Source organism: Homo sapiens, chromosome 12 (genome assembly GCF_000001405.40).
Source record: "Homo sapiens chromosome 12, GRCh38.p14 Primary Assembly".
Taxonomy (NCBI): Eukaryota; Metazoa; Chordata; class Mammalia; order Primates; family Hominidae; genus Homo; species Homo sapiens.
In genome coordinates, this window is record NC_000012.12 from 37,591,916 (window position 1) to 37,616,594 (window position 24,679).

The window sequence follows — 24,679 nt, forward strand, 5'->3', positions numbered from 1 at the left end:
TGTTCATTTTTGTCAGTTACAAATGATGTTATTGTGAATATGTTTGTATTTCTATTTGGTTACAATTAGTGTGTATTTATGTACAGTATAAACCAAGAGGTGAAACCATAGGTTACAGGGCAAACATATCTTCAGTTTTACCAGGTATTATTGGTTTCATCTCAATGTTAACACACCAACTGACAGTCTTACAATGTCTGATAACTCCCAACTCTTCGCATTCTTCTTGGCACTTAATTTTGTCAAAATTTTAATTTGAGTCTTTTGGTGGGTATGTGGCAATGATTGTGATATTAATTTACTGGGCATTTTCTTCTCCATAACAGGCCCTGTCAAGATATGTGTGGTGTGGCAGGGGTAGGAGCCCTTAGAGGTAGCATGGGCTCTGGAATCCTTAATCATCCTATGTGAAAAAGTTGGTGGGGCAGTGATTTTTGTTTTTTTGGGGTTTTTTTTGAGACAGAGATTCACTCTTGTTGCCCAGGCTGGAGTGCAATGGTACTCTCTCAGCTCACTGCAACCTCCGCCTCCCAAGTTCAAGTGATTTTCCTACCTCAGCCACCCAAGTAGCTGGGATTAGAAGCATGTGCCACCACACCCAGCTAATTTTTTGTATTTAGTAGAGATGGGGTTTCACCATGTTTGTCAGGCTGGTCTTGAACTCCTGACCTCAGGTGATCCACCTGTCTCAGCCTCCTAAAGTGCTGGGATTACAGGCATGCACCACTGCACCCTAATATCTCCTGTGTGTAATGGTGTAGCCAGGGTGCAAAGCCAGTTCTTAATGATTCTGTCATCCAAATATTATATCTTCTCGGTTCCCCTTGAGATATGCTCATTCCTCCATACAATTAAACAATCTCAATTACTCTTGAAGGAGCATAAAATCCTCCCTCTCTAATCATGGTTCCTTCAAAATTATTTGTTGGCTTGTGTTTAAAATATAAAAAAGAGAATGTAGATTTTGTTTTCTTCTTTCTGCTTAACCTGAACAAAATATCATAGAGACCTCTTAGCCTGTTGCTAAACCAAGGAGAGTCACTTGAATAATGAACAAGACTGGAGGGAAACCACATGGATAATTTATCATTACACTGTCATCACATACATGGAACTCATCAATGAAGCTTATGAAAAAAATTGAGTCGTTTGTGGAAAAGTGTAAAGAGACTATAAGAGATGCCTCAAGTGAAGAGAAAAAAGCTGCAGAAAATAATTACAAAAAAAAGAGTGTTAAGATGTAAACACAAATCAGAGATTCAGGAGCATGAAGGGTTAAGTTAAGGGAAAAAAGTGTTATCAATATTTTCTTATTTATTACGGAGAGCAGGATGAATTCTTAAAAGGTCAAATAATTGTGAGTCTGAGATATCTGATGATAATTTGTATTTTGTATTTCTAATGTTGTAAATGGTTGTTAATTCACAGTCATTCTTATTTCCTTTAGACTAGTGACCATGAGTTTGACTGACAAAAACCCATTGGCTTAGTATTGTTATCTATGTGTGTTCATCATGCTATGTGTTAAAATAAGAAGTTCATCAATTTTTGTCTTGTGTTTGTTTTCATTTCATTTTAGTTTAGCTTCTTTGGGACAAGGTCTCACTCTGTCACCCAGGCTGGAAGTGCAGTGGCATGATCAGAGCTCACTGCAGCCTCTACATCTCCAGGCTCAGGTGATCCTGCTACCTCAGCCTCCCAAGTAGCAGGAACTACAGGCATGAGCTACCACACCTGGCTAATTTTTGTATTCTTTGTAGAGACGGGGTTTTGATATGTTGCTCAGGCTGGTCTCAAACTCTTAGACTCAAGTGATCTGCCCACATTGGCCTTCCAAATTGCTGGGATGACTGGCATGCACCACTGTCCCCAGCCTGTTTTCATTTTATTAATTGGCTGATTCATTCAGACACATAATTATCAAGTCAAATCTCACTCTTTCCTTAGCATTTCCTTCAGTTTAGCTTAGAAAATCTATTCCTATTTTAAAACATATACGATTTTTCGAGTGTGGTGGCACATGAGTGTAATCCCAGCTACTCGGGAGGCTGAGGCAGGAGTATCACTTGAACCCGGGAGTGATATAGTGATTACATATAGTATATAACTATATATTGATTGCAGTTTATAATTTTAACTATATCATGTCTCCTGCCTCATAAGTACCACTGGACAAGGTCCCTTTTATGAACTCAGCTTCTGTCAGAGGTAAATGTATTTTGAAGTGGAGAACAAAGATAAGTGCAAAATTGGCCTGGAGAATGAAGGTAATTATGAAAGTTCCAGATACAAAGAGAGAGGGCTCAATATGCCAGCAGTTCTCTGCCAATCCATCCTAGAGTTCTTCTTTTAGGATTGCCTAAATAAGGCAGGAGATGGGTGCAAGACACACAAGTGTTCCAGAAGCATGTAAACAAGGTACAGAGAAGAGGATAAGATAAAATAAGATGAGATAAGAATATCAGGAATGCCTTGTTCAGAAGATTGCCTACAGAGGCAAAAGGGACAGTCTCATTTTGCTGAGGGAAACAGGGTGGTAAGAACCCTCCTGGGGAAGACCCCCACTTACCCTGATACAGAAAGAAGGTGTAAAATATCGTAATGGGAGAGCATTAGGCTGAGATAGCTCCCATGGTCTGGGTTCCTACATAGACAAAATGAAACAAGCTTAGCCCACCAACAAGTGGCCCGCTGAGTATTAGCTGTGTAATGAGAGACCTACCACCAGGATAGTTCAAATAATGCAACTGCCCACATTTTTGCCAATCAGATAATTTCTCTACTCTACTTCTATATTCACCCTATAAAAGCCTTCCTTACAAACACCTCCAGTAGATCCTCCAGCCACTTTCAGTTTGGAACTGCCTGATCCATGAATCTCTGTTTGCTTAAATAAACTCTTTAAAATTTTAATATGCTTACGTTTATCTATTTTTTTCTCATTTTTAAAAATTGACATGGGATCTTCCTATGTTGTCCAGGCTGGTCTTAAACTCCTGAACTCAAGTGATCCTCCTGCCTCAGCCTCCTGAGTAGCTGGAATTATAGATGTGTGCCTCCACACTCAGCTTACATTTATCTTTAAACAAGGGATTGACCCCTTTCTAAAATATATTTCTGTGAAGACCTGTACCGTCAGTGATATGGCAGGCTCATTTCAGACCATCGAGCACTTTTGTCTCTGGACCACAATTTGCCCTTTGTGACCTGCTCTACTAAGAAATTCAAGTGTAATTCAAGTTAGTTTACCCTCTGCTGATCAGGGGAGATTGCTCTTGGTGCAAGTTCAAGACAGGCACTCACACCTTCATTCGTACCCCAAATCTCAGCATCACACAATACTCCCATGTAATAAACCTGCACAGGTACCCTCCGGAATCTAAAATGAAAGTTGAAATTCATTAAAATTTTAATTTCATCTTATTACAAAACAAAGATAAATTTACTTCTTTCCGATTTTGATATACATATTATACTGACATACACACTGTATTCTATGGTGAATTATACTGATTGAATTTCACACTTTAAACTAACACTGAGTGACTTTGAAAAACTCTATTGGGTCATAATGCATTATGTTTTTAATATATTTTAATACAATTTGCAAAAATTTTGTTTTAAAATTACATCTATGTTCCATAAATAAATAAATATGTAAAACAATAAATATTTGTATTATTCAAGTGAAGATTGTAGCAATATTTTTGAATATCTACTTAACCTCAACTAGTTTTAATTCAGAAGTAGCAACTCCATAGAAATTCAACTTATTACTACCTTATTACTCATACTTGTCTCCTTGAAGAAGCTTCATTGCTATCATACAGTTTAGAATGCGATGTCATATATCTCTAGACTGAGTAGTATAATATTCACTGTTCAAATAAAATCAAATTACTATTATAATGTTATGACACCTCCAAATACAAGAAGCAAGCCCATGGATGTCAGATTAATGTATAGAGACAAATATTCCTACTTACTATCTTTTAGGGCAAACATATCCCAGCCAAGCTGATTTCAAAATGAAATGGAAACCATATGGTGGAAGGGGACTTGGGAATCACATAGATTGGATTTTCATTCCAACCCTTACATACACGAGCTGCATGACTCTGGGTAGATTGCATATTCTCTTAGAGTTTCAATATCCTCATCTGTGCAATATTTGGAGCGCATTGATGCCTACGATGGAAAAGGAAATATCATAACATAAAAACTAGACAGAAGCATTCCAATAAACTTCTTCATGATGTGTGCATTCAACACACAGAGTTGAAACTTTCTTTTGATAGTGCAGTTTTGAAACACTCTTTTTGTAGAATCTGCAAGTTGACATTTGGTGCAAATTGAGGCATATAAGGAAATGGAAATATCTTCACATAAAAACTAGACAGAAGCATTCTCAGAAACATCTTTGTGATGTGTGCATTCAATTCACAGAGTTGAACCTTTCTTTTGATAGAGCAGTTTTGAAACACTCTTGTTGTAGAAACTGCAAGTGGATATTTGGAGAGCTTTGAGGCCTATGGTGGAAAAGGAAATATCGTCACATAAAAACAAGACAGAAACATTCTCAGAAACATCTTTGTGATGTGTGCGTTCAATTCACAGAGAAGAACCTCTCTTCTGATAGAGCAGTGTTAAAACATTCTTGTTGTAGATTCTGCATTTGGATATTTGGAGCCCTTTGAGGACAATGATGGAAAAGGCAATAACTTCACAAAAAAACAAGAGATAAGGATTCTCAGAAACATCTTTGTGATGAGTGCATTCAACTCACAGAGTTGAACCTTTCTTTTGATAGAGCAGTTTTGAAACACTCTTTTTGTAGAATCTGTAAGTGGATATTTGGAGTGCATTGAAGCTTACGGTGGAAAAGGAAATATCATAACATAGAAATTAGACAGAAGGATTCTAAGAAACTACTTTGTGATGTGTGCATTCAACTCACAGAGTTGAACCTTTCCTTTAATAGTGCAGTTTTGAAACACTAATTTTGTAGAATCTGCAAGGTGATATTTAGTGCAAATTGAGAATATATAAAGAAATGGAAATATCTTCACATAAAAAATAGACAGAAGCATTCTCATAAACTTCTTTCTGATGTGTGCATTCAACTCCCAGAGTTGATCCTTTCTTTTTATAGAGCAGTTTAGAAACACTCTTTTAGTAGAATTTGCAAGTGGATATTTGGAGCGCTATGAGGCTGATGCTGGGAAAGGAAATATCTTCACATAAAAACTAGACACCAGCATTCTCAGAAACGCCTTTGTGATGTGTGCATTCAACTCACAGAGTTCAAATTTTCTTTTGATAGAGCAGTTTTGAAACACTCTTGTTGTACATTCTGCATATGGATATTTGGAGCCCTTTGAGGCCTATGGTGGAAAAGGAAATATCTTCACATAAAAAGCAGAGACAAGAATTCTCAGAAACTTCTTTGTGATTTGTGCATTCAACTCAAAGAGTTGAACATTTCTTTTGACAGAGCAGTTTTGAAACACTTTTTTTGCAGAATCTGCAAGTGGATACTTGGAGCTCCTTGAGGCCAACGGTGGAAAAGGAAATATCTTCACATAAAAACTAGACAGAAGCATTCTCAGAAACCTCTTTGTGATGTGTGCATTCAACTCACAGAGTTGAACCTTTTTTTTGAAAGAGCAGTTTTGAAACACACTTTTTGTAGCATCTGCAAGTTGATATTTGGTGCCCAATGAGGCATATAAGGAAATGGAAATATCTTCACATAAAACTACACAGAAGCAATCTCAGAAACTACTTCATGATGCGTGCATTCAGGTCCCAGAGTTGAACCTTTCTTTTTATAGACCAGTTTTGAAATAGTCTTTCTGAAGAATCCACAAGTGGATATTTGGAGTGATTTGAGGCCTATGCTGGAAAAGGAAATATCTTCAAATAAAAAGTAGACAGAAGCATTCTCAGAAATTTCTTTGAGATGTGTGCATTCAACTGACAGAGTAGAACATTTCTTTTGATAGAGCAGTTTTGAAACACTCTTTTTGCAAAATCTGCAACTGGATATTTGCAGCCCATAGTGGCCTAAGGTGGAAAAGGAAATATTTTCACATGAAAACTAGACAGAAGAATTCTCAGAAACTTCTTTGTGACGGGTGCATTCAACTAACAGAGTTGAACATTTCCTTTGATAGAGCAGTTTTGAAACACTCCTTTTGTAGAATCTGCTTGTGGATATTTGGAGCTCTTTGAGGAATTCATTGGAAACGGGATATCTTCAGATAAAAACTAGACAGAAGCATTCTCAGAAACAGCTTTGTGATGTGTGCATTCAACTCACAGAGCAGAATCTTTCTTTTGGAAGAGCAGTTTTGAAACACTCTTTTTGTAGAATCTGCAAGTGTTCATTTGGAGCACTTTGAGGCCTTCATTAAGAACGGGATAAACTTCTCATAAAAACTAGATAGAAGCATTAACAGAAATGGCTTTGTGATGTGTGCATTCAACTCGCAGAGTTGAACCTTTCTTTTGATAGAGCAGTTTTGAAGCATCCTTTTTGTAGAATCTGCAAGTGTTCATTTGGAGCAATTTGAGGCCTGTGGTGGAAAAGGGAATATCTCCTTATATAAACTAGACAGGAGCATTCTCAGAAACTTCTTTACCATGTGTGCATTCAACACACAGAGTTGAACCTTCCTTTTGACAGAGCAGTTTTGAAACAGTGCTTTTGTAGAATTTGCAAGTGCATAATTGGAACTATGTGAGGCCTGTGGTGGAAAAGGGTATATCTTCACATGAAAACTAGACAGAAGTATTCTCAGAAACTGCTTTGTGATGTGTATATTTAACTCAAAGAGTTGAACCTTTCTTTGGATAGAGCAGTTTTGAAACGCTCCTTTTGTAGAATCTGCTAGTTGATATTTGGAACTCCTTGAGACCTTTGTTGGAAACGGGTATATCTTCACATAAAAACTAGACAGAAGCATTCTCAGAAAGTTCTTTCTGATGTGGGCATTCAACTCACAGAGTTGAACCTTTCTTTTGATAGAGCAGTTTTGAAACAGTCTTTTATAGAATCTGCAAGTGTTCATTTGGAACGCTTTGAGACCTATGGTGAAAAGGAAATATCTTCACATAAATAGTAGACAGAGGCATTCTCAGAAACTTCTTTGTGTTGTTTGCATTCAACTAACAGAGTCAAAGCTTTCTTTTGATAGAGCAGTTTTGAAACACTCTCTTTGTAGTATCTGTAAGTGTTCATTTGGAGCGCTTTGAGGTCTTCATTGGAAACGGGAATAACTTCTCATAAAAACTAGACAGAAGCATTCTCAGAAACTGCATTGTGATGCGTGCATTCAATTCACAGAGTTGAACCTTCCTTTTGAAAGAGCTGTTTTGAAACAGTGATATTGTGGATTCTTCAAGTGGATATTTGGTGCAATTTGAAGCGTATGGTGGAAAGGGAATACCTTAACATGAAAACTAGACAGAATCATTCTCAGAACCTTCTTTGTCATGTGTGCATTCAACTCACAGAGTTGAACCTCTCTTGTGATAGAGCAGTTTTGAAACACCCCTTTTATAGGATCTGCAATTCTTCATTTTGAGTGCTTTGAGGCCTATGGTGGAAAAGGGAATATCTTCACATAAAAACTAGACAGAAGCATTCTCAGAAACTTCCCTGTGATGTGTGCATTCAACTAATAGAGTTGCACATTTCTTTTGATGGAGCAGTTTTGAAACACTCCTTTTGTAGGATCTGCTACTGGGTATTTGGAGATGTTTGAGGCCTTCGTTTGAAACGGGACTATCTTCACATAAAAACTAGACAGAAGCATTCTCAGAAAGTTCTTTGTGATGTGTGCATTCAACTCACAGAGCTGAACCTTTCTTTGGATAGAGCAGTTTTGAAGCATCCTTTTGTAGAATCTGCAAGTGTTCATTTGGAGCGATTTGAGGCCTGTGGTGGAAAAGGGAATATCTCCTCATATAAACTAGACAGAAGCATTCTCAGGAACTTCTTTGCCGTGTGTGCATTCAACACACAGAGTTGAACTTTTCTTTTGACAGAGCAGTTTTGAAACAGTGTTTTTGTAGTACCTGCAAGTGCATAATTGGAGCGATTTGAGGCCTGTGGTGGAAAAGCGTATATCTTTACATGAAAACTAGACAGAAGTATTCTCAGAAACTGCTTTGTGATGTGTACATTTAACTCAAAGAGTTGAACCTTTCTTTTGATAGAGCAGTCTTAAAACACTCCTTTTGTAGAATCTGCTAGTGGATATTTGGAGCTCTTTGAGACCTTTGTTGGAAACGGGTATATCTTCACATAAAAACTAGACAGAAGTATTCTCAGAAAGTTTTTTCTGATGTGGGCATTCAACTCACAGAGTTGAACCTTTCTTTTGATAGAGCAGTTTTGAAACAGTCTTTTTGTAGAATCTGCAATGTTCAATTGGAGTGCATTGAGGCCTTTGGTGGAAACGGAAATATCATCACATAATAACTAGACAGAAGCATTCTCAGGAACTTCTTTTAGATGTGTGCATTTAACTAACAGAGTTGAAACTTTCTTTTTATAGAGCAGTTTTGACACACTCCTATTGTAGAATCTGCTTGTGGATATTTGGAACTCCTTGAGGAACTCGTTGGAAAAGGTTTATCTTCACATAAAAATTACACGGAAGCATTCTCAGAAACATCTTTGTGATGTGTGCATTCAACTCACAGAGCTGAACCTTTCTTTTTAGAGAGCAGTTTTGAAACAGTCTCTTTTAGAATCTTCAAGTGGATATTTGGAGCGATTTGAGGCCTATGGTGGAAAAGGAAATACCTTCACATAAAAACTTGACAGAAGCATTCTCAGGAACTTCTTTGAGATGTGTATTCAGCTAACAGAGTTGAACCTTTATTGTGATAGAGCAGTTTTGAAATACTCCTTTTTTAGAATCTGCTATTGGATATTTGGAGATTTTTGAGGCCTTCATTGGAAATGTAAATATCTTCACCTAAAAACTAGACAGAAGCGTTCCCGGAAATTTCTTTGTGATGTGTGCATTCAACTCACAGAGTTGACACTTTCTTTTGATAGTGGAGTTTTTAAACCATCTTCCTGTAGAATCTGCAAGTGTTCATTTGGAGCGCTTTATGGCCTATGGTGGAAAATGAAATGTCTTTACCGAAAAAACAGACAGAAGCATTCTCAGAAACTGCTTTGTCTTGTGTCCATTCAACTCACAGAGTTGAACCTTTCTTTTGATAGAGCAGTTTTGAAACACTCCTTTTGTAGAATCTGCTTGTGGATATTTGGAGTTCTTTGAAGAATTTGTTGGAATCGGGATATCTTCACATAAAATCTAGACAGAAGCATTCTCAGAAACTTCTTTGTGATGTAAGCATTCAAGTCACAGAGTTGAACCTTTCTTTTGATAGAGCAGTTTTGAAACACTCTTTTTGTAGAATACGCAAGTGTTCATTTGGAGGGCTTTGAGGCCTACATTGGAAAAGAAATATCTTCACATAAAAACTAGACAGAAGCTTTCCCAGAAACTTCTCTGTGATGTGTGCATTCAACTGACAGAGTTGAACCTTTCTTTTGCTGGTGGAGTTTTGAAACAGTCTTTTTGTAGAATCTGCAAGTGTTCATTTGTAACATTTTGAGGCCGTCCTTAAAAAAGGGATTATCATCTCATAAGAACTAGACAGAAGAATTCACAGAAATGGCTTTGTGTTGTGTGCATTCAACTCACAGAGTTAAACCTTTCTTTTCATAGAGCAGTTTTGAAACATCCTTTTTGTAGAATCTGCAGTGTTCATTTAGAGCGATTTGCGGCCTGTGGTGGAAAAGGGAATAACTCCTCATAAAAACTTGACAGAAGCATTCTCAGAAACTTTTTTTGCCATGTGTGCATTCAACACACAGAATCGAACCTTCCTTCTGACAGAGCAGTTTTGAAACAGTGTTTTTGTAGAACCTGCAGCTGCATAATTGGAGCGATTTGAGGCCTATGGTGCAATAGGGTATATCTTCACATGAAAACTAGACAGAAGTATCCTCAGAAACAGCTTTCTGATGTGTACATTTAACTCAAAGAGTTAAACATTTCTTTTAATAGAGCAGTTTCCAAACCCTCCTTTTGTAGAATCTGCTAGTGGATATTTGGAGCTCTTTGAGACCTTCGTTGGAAACGGGTATATCTTCACATAAACCTAGACAGAAGCATTCTCAGAAAGTTCTCTGTGATGTGGGCATTCAACTCACAGAGTTGAACCTTCCTTTTGATAGAGCAGTTTTGAAACAGTCTTTTTGTAGAATGTGTAAGTGTTCATTTGGAAGGCTTTGAGACCTATGGTCAAAAGGAAATATCTTCATATAAATAGTAGACAAAAGCATTCTCAGAAACTTCTGTGTGTCGTGTGCATTCAACTAACAGAGTTGAAGCTTTCTTTTGATAGAGCAGTTTTGAAAAACCCCTTTTATAGGATCTGAAAGTCTTCATTTTGAGCGCTTTGAGGCCTATGGTGGAAAAGGAAATATCTTCACATAAAAACTAGACAGAGCATTCTCAGAAACTTCTTTGTGTCGTGTGCATTCAACTAACAGAGTTGAAGCTTTCTTTTGTTAGAGTAGTTTTGAAACACTCTTTTTGTAGAATCTGCAAGTGTTCATTTGGAGCGCTTTGAGGTCTTCATTGGAAATGGGAATAACTTCTCATAAAAACTAGATAAAAGCATTCTTAGAAACTTCATTGTGATGTGTGCATTCAATTCACAGAGTTGAACCTTCCTTTTGACAAAGCTGTTTTGAAACAGTGTTTTTGTATAATCTGCAAGTGGATATTTGGAGCCATTTGAAGCCTATGGTGGAAAACGGAATGCCTTCACATAAAACCTAGACAGAGGTATTCTCAGGAACTTCTTTGAGATGTGTGCATTCAACTCACAGAGTTGAACCTTTCTTTTGGAAGAGCATTTTGAAACACTCTTTTTGTAGATTCTGCAAGTGTTCATTTTGAGCGCTTTCAGGCCTATGGTGGAAAAGGAATTATCTTCACATGAAAACTAGACAGAAGCATTCTCAGGAACTTCTTTGAGATGTGTGCACTCAACTAACAGTTGAAACATACTTTTGATAGAGCAGTTTTGACACACCCTATTTGTATAATCTGCAAGTGGATATTTGGAGCGATTTGAAGCCTATGGTGGAAAAGGGAATGCCTTAACATAGAACCTAGACAGAAGCATTCTCAGGAGCTTCTTCAAGATGTGTGCATTCAACTCACAGAGTTGAAACTTTCTTTTGATGGAGCAGTTTTAAACACTCCTTTTGTAGAATCTACTACTGGATATTTGGAGATGTTTGAGGCCTTCTTTGGAAACGGGAATATCTTCACATAAAAACTAGACAGAAGCATTCTCAGAAAGTTCTTTGTGATGTGTGCATTCAACTCACAGAGCTGAACCTTCCTTTGGATAGAGCAGTTTTGAAACAGTCTTTTTGTAGAATCTGCAAGTGTTCATTCGGAGTGCTTTGAAGACTGTGGTGGAAAAGGACATATCGTCACATAAAAACTAGACAGAAGCATTCTCAGAAACTTCTCTGTGATGTCAGCATTCAACTCACAGAGCTGAAACTTTCTTTTCAAAGAGCAGTTTTGATAATCTCTTTTTGCAGAATCTGCCAGTGGATATTTGGAGCGCTTTGAGGCCTATGGTGGAAAAGGAATTATCTTCACATAAAGACTAGACAGAACCACTCTCAGAAACTTCTTTCTGATGTGTGCATTCACAGCAGAGTTGAACCTTTCTTTTGATAGGGCAGTTTTGAAACAGTCTTTTTGTAGAATCTGCAATGTTCAATTGGAGCGCTTTGAGGCCTATGTTGGAAACGGAAATATCTTCACGTAAAAACTTGACAGAAGCATTCTCAGGAACTTCTTTGAGATGTGTGCATTCAACTAACAGAGTTGAAACTTTCTTTCGATAGAGCAGATTTGACAAACTCCTTTTGTAGAATCCACTTGTGTATATTGGGAACTCCTTCAGGAAGTCATTGGAAACGGGATATCTTCACATAAAAATTACATGGAAGCATTTTCAGAAAGTTCTTTCTGATGTGTGCATTCAACTCACAGAGCTGAACCTTTCTTTTTAGAGAGCAGTTTTGAATCAGTCTTTTTTAGAATCTGCAAGTGGATATTTGGAGCGATTTGAGGCCTATAGTGGAAAAGGAAATACCATCACATAAAACCTTGACAGAAGCATTCTCAGGAACTTTTTTGAGATGTGTGCATTCAACTAACCGAATTGAACCTTTATTATTATAGAGTCGTTTTGAAATACTCCTTTTTTAGAATCTGCTATTGGATATTTGGAGATTTTTGGGGCCTTAGTTGGAAATGGAAATATCTTCACCTAAAAACTAGACAGAAGCATTCTCGGAAAGTTCTTTGTGATGTGCGCATTCAACTCGCAGAGTTGACCCTTTCTTTTGATCGTGGAGTTTTTAAACAGTCCTTTTGTAGAATCTGCAAGCGTTCATTTGGAGTGCTGTATGGCCTATGGTGGAAAATGAAATATCTTCACCTAAAAACCAGACAGAAGCATTCTCAGAAACTTCTCTGTGATGTGTGCATTCAACTCACAGAGTTGAACCTTTCTTTTGATAGAGCAGATTTTGAACAGCCTTTTTGTAGAATCTGCAAGTGTTCATTTGGAGAGACTTGAGGCCTATGGTGGAAAAAAGAATATCTTCTCATAAAAACTAGACAGAAGCATTCTCAGAAACTTCTTTGCCATGTGTGCATTTAACTCACAGATTTGAACCGTCTCTTTGACAGAGTAGTTTTGAAACAGTGTTTTTCTAGACTCTGCAAGTGGACATTTTGAGCCATTTGAGGCCTAAGGTGGAAAACAAAATATCTTCACATGAAAACTAGACAGAAGCATTGTCAGAAAATTTTTGCTGTATGCATTCAACTCACAGAGTTTAAACTTTCTTTGATAAAGTAGTTTTGAAACACTCCTTCTGTACAATGTGCTTGTGGATATTTGAGCTGTTTGAGGAATTCGATGCAAACGTGATATCTTCACATAAAAATTAGACAGAAGCATTCTCAGAAACTGCTTTGTGATGTGTGCATTCAACTTACAGTGTTGAAACTTTCTTTTAAGAGTGCAGTTTTGAAACAGTCTTTTTGTAGTATCTGCAAGTGGGTTTTTAGAGACTTTTGAGGCCTTTTTGGAAAACCGGAATATCTTCAAATAAAAACTAGACAGAAGCATTCTCAGAAACTTCTTTGTGTCCTGTGCATTCAGCTTACTGAGTTGAAACTTTCTTTTGATAGAGCACTTTTGAAACACTCTTTTTGTAGAATCTGCAAGGTTCATTTGGAGCGCTTTGAGGTCTTCGTTGGAAACGGGAATAACTTCTCATAAAAAACTAGACAAAAGCATTCTCAGAAACTTCATTGTGATGTGTGCATTCAATTCACAGAGTTGAACCTTCCTTTTGACAGAGCTGTTTTGAAACAGTGTTTTTGTATAATCTGCAAGTGGATATTTGAAGCGATTTGAAGCCTATGGTGGACAAGGGAATGCCTTCACATAAAACCTAGACAGAAGCATTCTCAGAAACTACTTTGCCATGTGTGCATTTTACTCACAGAGTTGAACTTTGCTTTTGTCAGGGCAGTTTTGATACAGTGTTTTTATCGAATCTGCAAGTGCATATTTGGAGCGATTTGAGGCCTATTGTGGAAAAGGGAATATTTTGGCATGAAAACTAGAGAGAAGCATTCTCAGAAACTTCTTTGTGATGTGTGCATTCAACCCACAGAGTTGCACCTTTCTTTTGATACAGCAGATTTGAAACACTCCTTTTGTACAATCTGCTAGTGGATATTTGGAGATGTTTGAGGCCTTCGTTGGAAATGGATATATCTTCTCATAAAAACTAGACAGAGGCATTCTCAGGAACTTCTTTGAGATGTGTGTATTCAACTCACAGAGTTGAATCTGTCTTTTGATAGAGCAGTATTGAAACACTCCTTTTGTAGAATCTTCTTGTGGATATTTGGAACTCTTTGAGGAATTCTTTGGGAACGGGAATCTTCACATAAAATCTAGACAGAAGCATTCTCAGAAACTTCTTTGTGATGTGTGCATTCAACTCACAGGCTTGAGCCTTTCTTTTGATAGACCAGTTTTGAAACAGTCTTTTGTAGAATCTGCAAGTGTTCTTTTGGATCGATTAGAGGCCTGTGGTGGGAAAGGGAATATCTTCTAATAAAAACAAGACAGAGGTATTCTCAGAAACTTCTTTGCCATGTGTGCATTCAACTCACAGAGGTGAACCTTTTTTCAGAGCAGTTTTGAAACGGTGTTATTGTAGAATCTGCAAGTAGATATTTGGAGCAATGTGAGGCCTATTCTGGGAAAGGAAATATCTTCACATAAAAACTAGACAGAAGCATTCTCTGGAACTTCTTTATGATGTGTGAATTCATGTAACAGAGATGAACCTTTCTTTTGATAGAGCATATTGGAAACACTCCTTTTGTAGAATCTCCTAGTGGATATTTGGAGATTTTTGAGGACTTCGTTGGAAACGGGAATATCTTCACATAGAAACTACACAGAAGCATTCTCAGGAACTTTTTTGAGATGTATACATTCAACTCACAGATTTGAACCTTCGTTTTTATAGAGCAGTTTTGAAACACTCCTTTTGTAGAATCTGCTTGTGGATATTTAGAGCTCTTTGAGTAATTCGTTGGAAACAGGATATCTTCAAATAAAACTAGACAGAAGCATTCTCAGAAAGTTATTTGTGGTGTGTGCATTCAACTCACAGAGTTGAACATTTCTTTTGATAGAGCAGTTTTGAAACAGTCTTTTTGCAGAATCTGAAGTGTTCATTCGGAGCACTTTGAGGCCTTTGGTGGAAAAGGAAATATTATCACATAAATACTAGACAGAAGCATCCTCAGAAACTTCTTTGTGATGTGTGCATTCAACTCACAGAGATGAACCTTTCTTTTGATAGAGCAGTTTTGAAATAGTCTTTATGTAGAATCTGCAAGTTGATATTTGGAGCGATTTGAGGCCTATGGTGGAAAAGGGAATATCTTCTCATAAAAATTAGACAGAAGCATTCTCAGAAAATGCTTGGTGATGTGTACATTCAACTAACGGATTTGAACCTTTCTTTTGATAGAGCAGTTTTGAAACACTCTTTTTGTGAAATATGCAAGTGTTCATTTGGAGCGCTTTGAGGTCTGTGGTGGAAAAAGAAATATCTTCAATATCTTCACATAAAAACTAGACAGAGGCAGTATCAGAAACTGCTTTGTCTTATATGCATTCAACTCACAGTGTTGAACATTTCTTTTGATAGAACAGTTTTGAAACACTCCTTTATTGGATCAGCAAGTGTTCGTTTTGAGCTCAGTGAGGCCCATGGTGGAAAAGGAAATATCTTCACACAAAAACTACAAAGAACCATTCTCGGAGAATACTTTGCAATGTGTGCATTCAACTCACAGAGTTGAACCTTTCTTTTGATAGAGCATGTTTGAAACATTCCTTTTGTAGAATCTGTTATTGGATATTTGGAAATATTTGAGGACTTCGTTGGAAACGGGTATATCTTCATATAAAAACTAGAGGCAAGCATTCTCAGGAACTTCTTTGTGATGTGTGCATTCAAATCACAGAGTTGAACATTTCTTTTGATAGAGCAGTTTTGAAACACTCCTTTTGTAGCATCTGCTTTTGAATATTTGGAGGTCTTTGAGGAATTCCTTGGAAACTGTATATCTTCACATAAAACTTGACAGAAGAATTCTCAGAAAGTTCTTTGTGATGTGTGCATCCAACACACAGACTTGAACGTTTATTTTGATAGAGCACTTTTTAAACAGTCTTTTAGTAGAATATGAAAGTGTTCACTTGGAGTGATTTGAGTCCTATGGTGGAAAAGGGAATATCTTCTAATAATAACAAGACAGAAGCATTCTCAGAAACTTCTTTGCCATGTGTGCATTCAACTCACAGAGTTGAATCTTACTTTTGACAGAGCAGTTTTGAAGCAGTGTTTTTGTAGAATCTGCAAGTGGATAATTGGAGTGATATGAGGTCTAAGGTAGAAAAAGAAATATCTTCACATAAAAACTAGACAGAAGCATTCTCTAGAACTTCTTTGTGATGTGTGCATTCATGTAATAGAGATTAATCTTTTGATAGAGCAGACTTGAAACACTCTTTTTGTAGAATCTGCTAGTGGATATTTGGAGATTTTTGAGGCCTTCATTGGAAACGGGAATATCTTCACATAAAAACTAGACAGAAGCATTCTCAGGAACTTTTTTGATATGTGTGCATTGAACTCACAGAGTTGAACATTTCTTTTGATAGAGCAGTTTTGAAGCACTCCTTTTGTAGAATCCACTAGTGGATATATAGAGCTGTTTGAGTAATTCGTTGGAAACGGGATATCTTCACATAAAAACTTGACAGAAACATTCTCAGAAAGTTCTTTGTGATGTGTGAATTAAACTCACAGAGTTGAACATTTCTTTTGATAGAGCAGTTTTGAAACAGTATTTTTGTAGAAACTGCAAGTGTTCATTCAGAGAGCTTTGAGGCCTATGGTGGAAAAGGACATAACTTAACACAAATAGTAGACAGAAGCATCCTCAGAAACTTCTTTGTGATGAGTGCATTCAACTTACAGAGTTGAACCTTTCTTTTGATAGAGCAGTTTTGAAATACTCTTTTTGTAGAATCTGCAAGTGTTCCTTTGGAGCGCTTTGAGGTCTATGGTGGAAAAAGAAATATCTTAAATAACTTGACATAAAAACTAGACAGAAGCCTTCTCAGAAACTTCTTTGTGATGTGTGCATTCAACTCACAGAGGTGAACCTACCTTTTGAGAGAGCAGTTTTGAAACAGTCTTTTTGTAGAATCTGCAACTGGATATTTGTAATGATTAGAGGCCTATGGTGGAAAAGGAAATATCTTCCCATAAAAACTAGACAGAAGCATTATCAGGAATTTCTTTGAGATGCGTGCATTCATCCAACAGAGTTGAACCTTTCTTTTGATAAAGCAATTTTGAAACACTCCTTTTGTAGAATCTGCTTGTGGATATTTGGAGATTTTTGAGGCCTTCATTGGAAACGGGGATATCTTCACATAAAACGAGACAGAAGCATTCTCAGAAACATCTTTGTGATGCGTGTATTCAACTCACAGAGTTGAACTTTTCTTCTGATAGAGCAGTTTTAAAACACTCCTTTTGTAGAATCTAATTGTGGATATTTGGAGCTCATTGAGAAATTCGTTGGAAACGGGATAACTTCACATAAAAACTTGACAGAAGCATTCTCAGAAACTCCTTTGTGATGTGTGCATTCAACGCAAAGAGTTGAACCTTTCTTTTGATAGAGCAGATTTGAAACACTCTTTTTGTATAATATGCAAATGTTCATTTTGAGCGCTTTGAGGCCTGTGGTGGAAAAGGAAATATCTTCACATAAAACTAGACTGAAGCATTCTCCAGAACTTCTTTGAGATGTGTGCATTCAACTAAGAGAGTTGAATCTTTCTTTTGATAGAGCAGTTTTGAAACAGTCTTTTTGTAGAATCTGCAAGTGTTCATTTGGAGTACTTTGAGGCCTATGGTGGAAAGGGAAATATATTCACATAAAAACTAGACAGAAGCATTCTCAGAAAGTTATTTGTGATGTGTGCATTCAACTCACAGAATTGAACCTTTCCTTTGATAGAGCAGTTTATAAAGTCTTTTTGTAGAATCTGTAAGTGTTCATATGGAGTGATTTGAGGCCTATGTTGGAAAAGGGAATATGTTCTTATAAAAATTAGACAGAAGCATTCTCAGAAACTTCTTTGCCAGTGTGCATTCAACTCACAGTTTTGAAACTTCCTTTTGACAGAGCAGTTTTTAGAAAGTGTTTTTGTAAAATCTGCAAGTGGATATTTTTAGCGTTTTGAGTCCTAAGGTGGAAAAGGGAATATCTTCACATGAAAACTAGACAGAAGCATTCTCGTTAACTACTTTGTGTTGTGTGCATTCATCTCACAGAGTTGAACCTTTCTTTTGATAGAGCAGTTTTGAAACACTCTTTTTTTACAATCTGCTTGTGGATATTTGGGGCTCTTTGAGGAATTCGTTGGAAACGAGATATCTTCACATACTTGACAGAAGCATTCTCAGAAACTGCTTTGTGATGTGTGGATTCAAATCACAGAGTTGAACCTTCCCTTATAAAGAGCAGTTTTGAAACACTCTATTTGTAGAATCGGCAAATGTTCATTTGGAGCACTTTGAGGCCTATGCTGGAAATGGAAATATCTTCACATAAAAACTAGACAGAAGCCCTCTCAGAAAATTCTTTGTCATGTGTGCATTCAACTCACAGAGTTGAACCTTCCTTTTGGGAGAACAGTTTTGAAACAGTCTTTTTGTAGAATTTGCAAATGGATATTTGGAGCAGTTTAAGGACTAAGGTGAAAAAGGAAATATATTCAAATAAAAACTAGACTGAAGCATTCTCAGAAAATACTTTGTGATGTATTCATTCAACTCACAGAGTTGACCCTTTCTTTTGATAGAGCAGCTTTGAAACACTCTTTTTGAAGAATCTGCAAGTGGATATTTGGAGTGCTTTGTGGCCTATGGTGGAAAAGGAAATATCTTCACATAAAAACTAGACAGAAGCATTGTCCGAAACTTCTTCATGATGTGTGCATTCAACTCACAGAGTTGAACATTTCTTTTTGTAGAATCTGCAAGTGGATATTAGGAGGGCTTTGAGGCCTATGGTGGAAAAGGAAATAAATTCCCATGAAAAGTAGACAGAAACATTCTCAGAAACTTCTTTGTGATGTGTGAATTTAGCTCACAGTGTTGAACCATTCTTTTGATATATTAGTTTTGAAACACTCCTTTTGTAGAATCTGCAACTGGATATTTAGAGTGCTTTGATGCCTATTTTGGCAAAGGAAATATCCTCACATAAAAACTTGACAGAAGCACTCTCAGAAACTTCTTTGTGATGTGTTCATTCCCCTCACAGAGTTGAACATTTCTTTTCATAGAGCAGTTTTGAAACACTCCTTTTGAAGGAACTGTTACTGGATAATTGGAGTGATTTGAGGCCTATGGTGGTAAAGGAAATATCTTCACAAAAAAACTAGACAGTAACATTCTCAGAAACTTCTTTGTGATGTGTGCATTCAACTAACAGAGATGAACTTTCTTTAGATAGAGCAGCTTTGAAACACTCTTTTTGTAGAATCCGCAAGTGGATATTTAGAGCGCTTTGAGGCCTAAGGTGAAAAAAGAAATATCTTCACATAAAAACTAGACAGAAGCATTCTCAGAAATAACTTTGTGATGTGTGCATTCAACTAATAGTGTTGAACCTTTCTTTTGATAGAGCAGTTTTGAAACACTCTTTTTGTAGAATCTGAAAGTGTATATTTGGAGTTCTATGAGGCCTATGGTGGAAAAGGAAATATATTCGCATAACAACTAGACAGAAGCATTATCAGAAACTTCTTTGTGATGTGTGCATTCAACTCACAGAGCTGAACCTTTACTTTTGATTGAGCAGTTTTGAAAAACTCTTTTTGTAGGATCTGAAAGTGGACATTTAGAGTGCTTTGAAGCCTATGGTGGAAAATGAAATATCTTCACATAAAAACTAGACAGAAACATTCTCAGAAACTTCTTTGAGATGTGTGAATTCAACTCACAGAGTTGCACCTTCCTTTTGATGGAGCAGTTTTGAAACACTCTTTTTGAAGGATCTGCAAATGGATATTTGGAGCGCTTTAAGGCCTTCTGTGGAAACGGGAATATCTTCAAATAAAAACTGGACAGAAGCATTATCAAAAGTTTTTTTGTGATGTGTGCATTCATCTAACAGAGTTGAACCATTTTTTTTGATAGAGCAGTTCTGAAACACTCTTTTTGTAGAGTCTGCAAGTGGATACTTGGAACGCTGTGATTCCTATGGTGGAAAGGGGAATATCTTCACATAAAGAGTAGACAGAAGCACTCTCAGAAACTTCTTTGTGATGTGTGCATTGAAATAACAGAGTAGAACCTTGCTTTTGATTGAGCACTTTTGAAACACCCTTTTTGTAGAATCTGGTAGTGGATATTTCGTGCGCTTTGAGGCCTACGGTGGAAAAGTATATATCCTCACCTAAAAACAAGACAGAAGCATTCTCATAAACTTCCTTGTGATGTGTCCATTCAGCTCACAGAGTTGAAACTTTCTTTTGATAGAGCAGTTTTGAAAAGCTCTTTTTGTAGAATCTGCAAGTGGATATTTGGAGATCTTTGAGGCCTATGTGGAAAAGGAAATGTCTTCACATAAAAACTAGACAGAAGCATTCTCAGAAACTTCTTTCTGATGTGTGCATTCAACTAACAGAGTTGAACCTTTCTATTAATAGAGCAGTTTTGAAACACTCTTTTTGTAGAATATGCAAGTGCATTTTTGGAGTGCTTTGAGGCCTACGGTGGAAACGAAAATATCTTCACATGAAAACAAGACAGAAGCATTCTCAGAAACCTCTTTGTGATGTTTACATTCAAATGACAGAGTTGAACTTTGTTTTGATAAAGCAGTATTAAAACACTCTTTGATAAAATATGCAAGTGGATATTTCAAGCGCTTGAGGCCTACGCTGGAAAAGGAAATATCTTCACATAAAAACTAGACAGAAACATTCTCAGAAACTTAGTTGTGATGTGTGCATTCAACTCACAGAGTTGAACCTTTCTTTTGATAAAGCAGTTTTGAAACACTCTTTGTAGAATCTGGAAGTGGATATCTGGTGCACTTTGAAGCCTATTTTGGAAGAGTTTATATCCTCACATAAAAACTAGACAGAAGCTCTCTGAAACTACTTTGTGATGTGTGCATTCAAGTCTCAGAGTTGAACCTTTCCTTTGACAGAGTTGTTTTGAAACACTTCTTTTGTAGAATCTGCTTGTGGATATATGAAACTTTTTGAGGAATTCATTGGAAAAGGGCTATATTCAGAAAAAACTAGAAATAACTATTCTCAGAAAGTTCTTTGTGATGTGTGCATTCAACTCACAGAGTTGAACATTTTTTTTTCATAGAGCAGATTTGAAACATTCTTTCTGTATAATCTGCAAGTGTTCATTTGGGGCGCTTTGAGGCCAAAGGTGGAAAAGGAAATAACTTCACATGAAAACTAGACAGAAGCATTCTCAGAAACTATTTTGTGATGTGTGCATTCAATTCACAGAGTTGAACCTTTCTTTTGATAGAGCAGTTTTGAAACATCCCTTTTATAGGATCTGCTTGTGGGTATTTGGAGCTCTTTGAAGAATTTGTTGTAAACGGGATATCTACACATAGAAACTAGACAGAAGGATTCTCAGAAACTGCTTTGTGATGTGTGCATTCAACTCACAGAGTTGAACCTTTCTTTGGATAGAGCAGTTTTGAAAAACTCTTTTTGTAGAATCTGCAATTCTTCATTTGGAGTGCTTTGAGGCCAATGGTGTAAAAGAAAATGTCTTCGCATAAAAACTAGACAGAAGCATTCTTAGAAACTGCTTTGTGATGTCTGCATTGAACTAACAGAGTTGAACTTTCTTTTCATAGAGCAGTTTTGAAACACTCCTTTTGTAGAATCTGCTAGTGGATATTTGGAGCTCTTTGAGGTCTTCGTTGTAAACCAGAATATCTTCACATAAAAACTAGACAGAAGCATTCTCAAAAACTTCTCTGTGATGCGTGCATTCAACTCACAGGGTTGAACTGTTCTTTGGATAGAGCAGTTTTGAAACACTCCTTTTGTAGAATCTGCAAGTGTTCATTTGGAGTGCTTTGAGGCCAATGGTGGGAAAGGAAATATCTTCACATAAAAACTAGACAGAAGCATTCTCAGAAACTTCCTTATGATGTGTGCATTCAACTCGCAGAGTTGAACCTTCCTTTTGATAGAGCACTTTTAAAAAAGTCTTTTTGTAAAATCTGCAAGTGGATAATTGCAGGGATTTGAGGCCTATGGTGGAAAAGGGAATATCTTCACATAAAAACTAGACAGAAGCATTCTCAGAAACTGCTTTGTGATGTGTGCATGCAACTCACAATGTTGAACCTTTCATTTGATAGATTAGTTTTGAAACACTTTTTTTGTGGAATCTGCAAGTGTTCATTTGGAGTGCTTTGAGGCCTATGGTGGAAAAGGAAATATCTTCACATAAAAACTAGACAGAAGCATTCTCAGAAACTAACTTGTTATGTGTACATTTAACTCATCGAGTTGAACCTTCCTTTTGAGAGATCAGTTTTGAAAGAGTCTTTTTGTAGAATCTGCAATTGGATATTTGGAGCGATTTGAGGCCTACGGTGGAAAAGGAAATATCTTCACATAATAACAAGACAGAAGTATTCTCAGGAACTTCTTTGTGATATGTGCATTCAACTAACAGATTTGAACCTTTCTTCTGATAGCACAGGTTTGAAACACTCCTTTTGTAGAATCTGCTAGTGGCTATTTGGAGATTTTTGAGGCTTCGTTGGAAACAGGAATATCTTCACATAAAAACTAGATAGAAGCATTCTCAGAAACTTCTTTTTGATGTGCGCATTCAACTAACAGAGATGAACCTTTCTTTTCATAGAGCAGTTTTGAAACACTCGCTTTGTAGAATCTGCTAGTGGATATTTGGAGAGTTTTGAGGCCTTTGTTGGAAACATGGATATCTTCCCACAAAAACTGGACAGAAACATTCCCAGAAAATACTATGTAATTTGGGCATTCAACTCACAGATTTGAACCTTTCTTTTGATAGAGCAGTTTTGAAACAGTCTTTTTGTAGAATCTGCAAGTGTTCATTTGGGGCGCTTTGTTGCCTATGGTGGAAAAAGAAATATCTTCACATAAAAACTAGACAGAAGCATTCTCAGAAACTTCTTTGTGATGTAAGCATTCAAGTCACAGAGTTGAACTTTTCTTTTTATAGAGCAGTTTTGAAACACTCTTTTTGTAGAATCTGCAAGTGTTCACTTGGAGTGCTTTGAGGCCAATGGTGGAAAAGGAAATATCTTCACATAAAAACTAGACAGAAGGATTCTCAGAAACTGCTTTTTGATGTGTGCATTCAGCTCACAGAGTTGAACTTTTATTTGGATAGATCAGTTTTGAAACACTCTTTTTGTAGAATCTGCAATTCTTCACTTGGAGCACTTTGAGGTTAATGGTGTAAAAGAAAATGTCGTCACATAAAAACTAGACAGAAGCATTCTCAGAAACTGCTTTGTGATGTGTGCATTCAACTAACAGAGTTGAACCTTTCTTTTCTTAGAGCAGTTTTGAAACACTCCTTTTGTAGAATCTGCTAGTGGATATTTGGAGCTCTTTGAGGCCTTCGTTGTAAACCGGAATATCTTCACATAAAAACTAAACAGAAGCATTCTCAGAAACTGCTTTGTGACGTGTGCATTCAACTAACAGAGTTGAACTTTTCTTTTCATAGAGCAGTTTTGAAACACTCTTTTTGTAGAATCTGCTAGTGGATATTTGGAGCTCTTTGAGGCCTTCGTTGTAATCCAGAATATCTTCACATAGAAACTAGAGAGAAGCATTCTCAGAAACTGCTTTGTGATGTGTGCATTCAACTCACAGGGCTGAACCGTTCTTTGGATAGAGCAGTTTTGAAACACCCCTTTTGTAGAATCTGCAGGTGTTCATTTGGAGCGCTTTGAGGCCAATGGTGGGAAAGGAAATATCTTCACATAAAAACTAGACAAAAGCATTCTCCAGAAACTTCTTTGTGATGTGTGCATTCAACTCTCAGAGTTGAACCTTCCTTTTGGTAGAGCACTTTTGAAACCGTCCTTTTGTAAATCTGCAAGTGGATATTTGCAGGGATTTGAGGCCTATGGTGGAAAAGGAAATATCTTCACATAAAAACTAGACAGAAGCATTCTCAGAAACTTCTTTCTGATGTGTGCATTCAACTCACAGGGTTGAACCTGTTTTTTGATAGAGCAGTTTTGAAACACTCCTTTTGTAGGATCTGCTAGTGGATACTTGGAGACTTGTGAGGCCTTGGTTTGAAATGGGAATATCTTCACATAAAAACTAGACAGAAGCATTCTCAGAAAGTTCTTTCTGAGGTCTGCACTCAACTCACAGAGTTGAACATTTCTTTTGATAGAGCAGTTTTGAAACTCTCTTTTTGTAGAATCTGCAAGTGCTCATTTGGATTGCTTTGTCCCCTATGGTGGAAAAGGAAATATCTTCACATAAAAACTATACAGAATCATTCTCAGAAACCTCTTTGTGATGTGTGCATTCAACTCTCGCTGTTGAACCTTTCTTTTGATAGAGCAGTTTTGAAACACTCTTTTTATAGAATCTGCAAGTGGATATTTGGAGTGCTTTGAGGCCTACCGTGTAAAAAGAAATATCTTCAAATAAAAACTAGACGGAAGCATTCTCAGAAACAACTTTGTGATGTGTGCATTCAACTCACAGAATTGACCCTTTCTTTTGATAGAGCAGCTTTGAGGCACTCTTTGTGTACAATCTGCAAGTGGATATTTGGAGTGCTTTGTGGGTGATGGTGAAAAGGAAATATCTTCCCATAAAAACTAGACAGTAGCATTCTCTG

General features: G+C 37.0%; 4 annotated features.

Moving 5' to 3' along the window:
* Positions 11,093-11,648: an enhancer, noted in NCBI's record as "OCT4-NANOG hESC enhancer chr12:37996810-37997365 (GRCh37/hg19 assembly coordinates)". NCBI's record gives its function as "activates a minimal SCP1, AML or CMV promoter by ChIP-STARR-seq in primed H9 embryonic stem cells {active_cell/tissue: H9 hESC(primed)}" and the evidence as "EXISTENCE:reporter gene assay evidence [ECO:0000049][PMID:30033119]".
* Positions 11,682-12,183: an enhancer, noted in NCBI's record as "OCT4 hESC enhancer chr12:37997399-37997900 (GRCh37/hg19 assembly coordinates)". NCBI's record gives its function as "activates a minimal SCP1, AML or CMV promoter by ChIP-STARR-seq in primed H9 embryonic stem cells {active_cell/tissue: H9 hESC(primed)}" and the evidence as "EXISTENCE:reporter gene assay evidence [ECO:0000049][PMID:30033119]".
* Positions 12,297-12,873: an enhancer, noted in NCBI's record as "OCT4-NANOG hESC enhancer chr12:37998014-37998590 (GRCh37/hg19 assembly coordinates)". NCBI's record gives its function as "activates a minimal SCP1, AML or CMV promoter by ChIP-STARR-seq in primed H9 embryonic stem cells {active_cell/tissue: H9 hESC(primed)}" and the evidence as "EXISTENCE:reporter gene assay evidence [ECO:0000049][PMID:30033119]".
* Positions 13,802-14,316: an enhancer, noted in NCBI's record as "OCT4-NANOG hESC enhancer chr12:37999519-38000033 (GRCh37/hg19 assembly coordinates)". NCBI's record gives its function as "activates a minimal SCP1, AML or CMV promoter by ChIP-STARR-seq in primed H9 embryonic stem cells {active_cell/tissue: H9 hESC(primed)}" and the evidence as "EXISTENCE:reporter gene assay evidence [ECO:0000049][PMID:30033119]".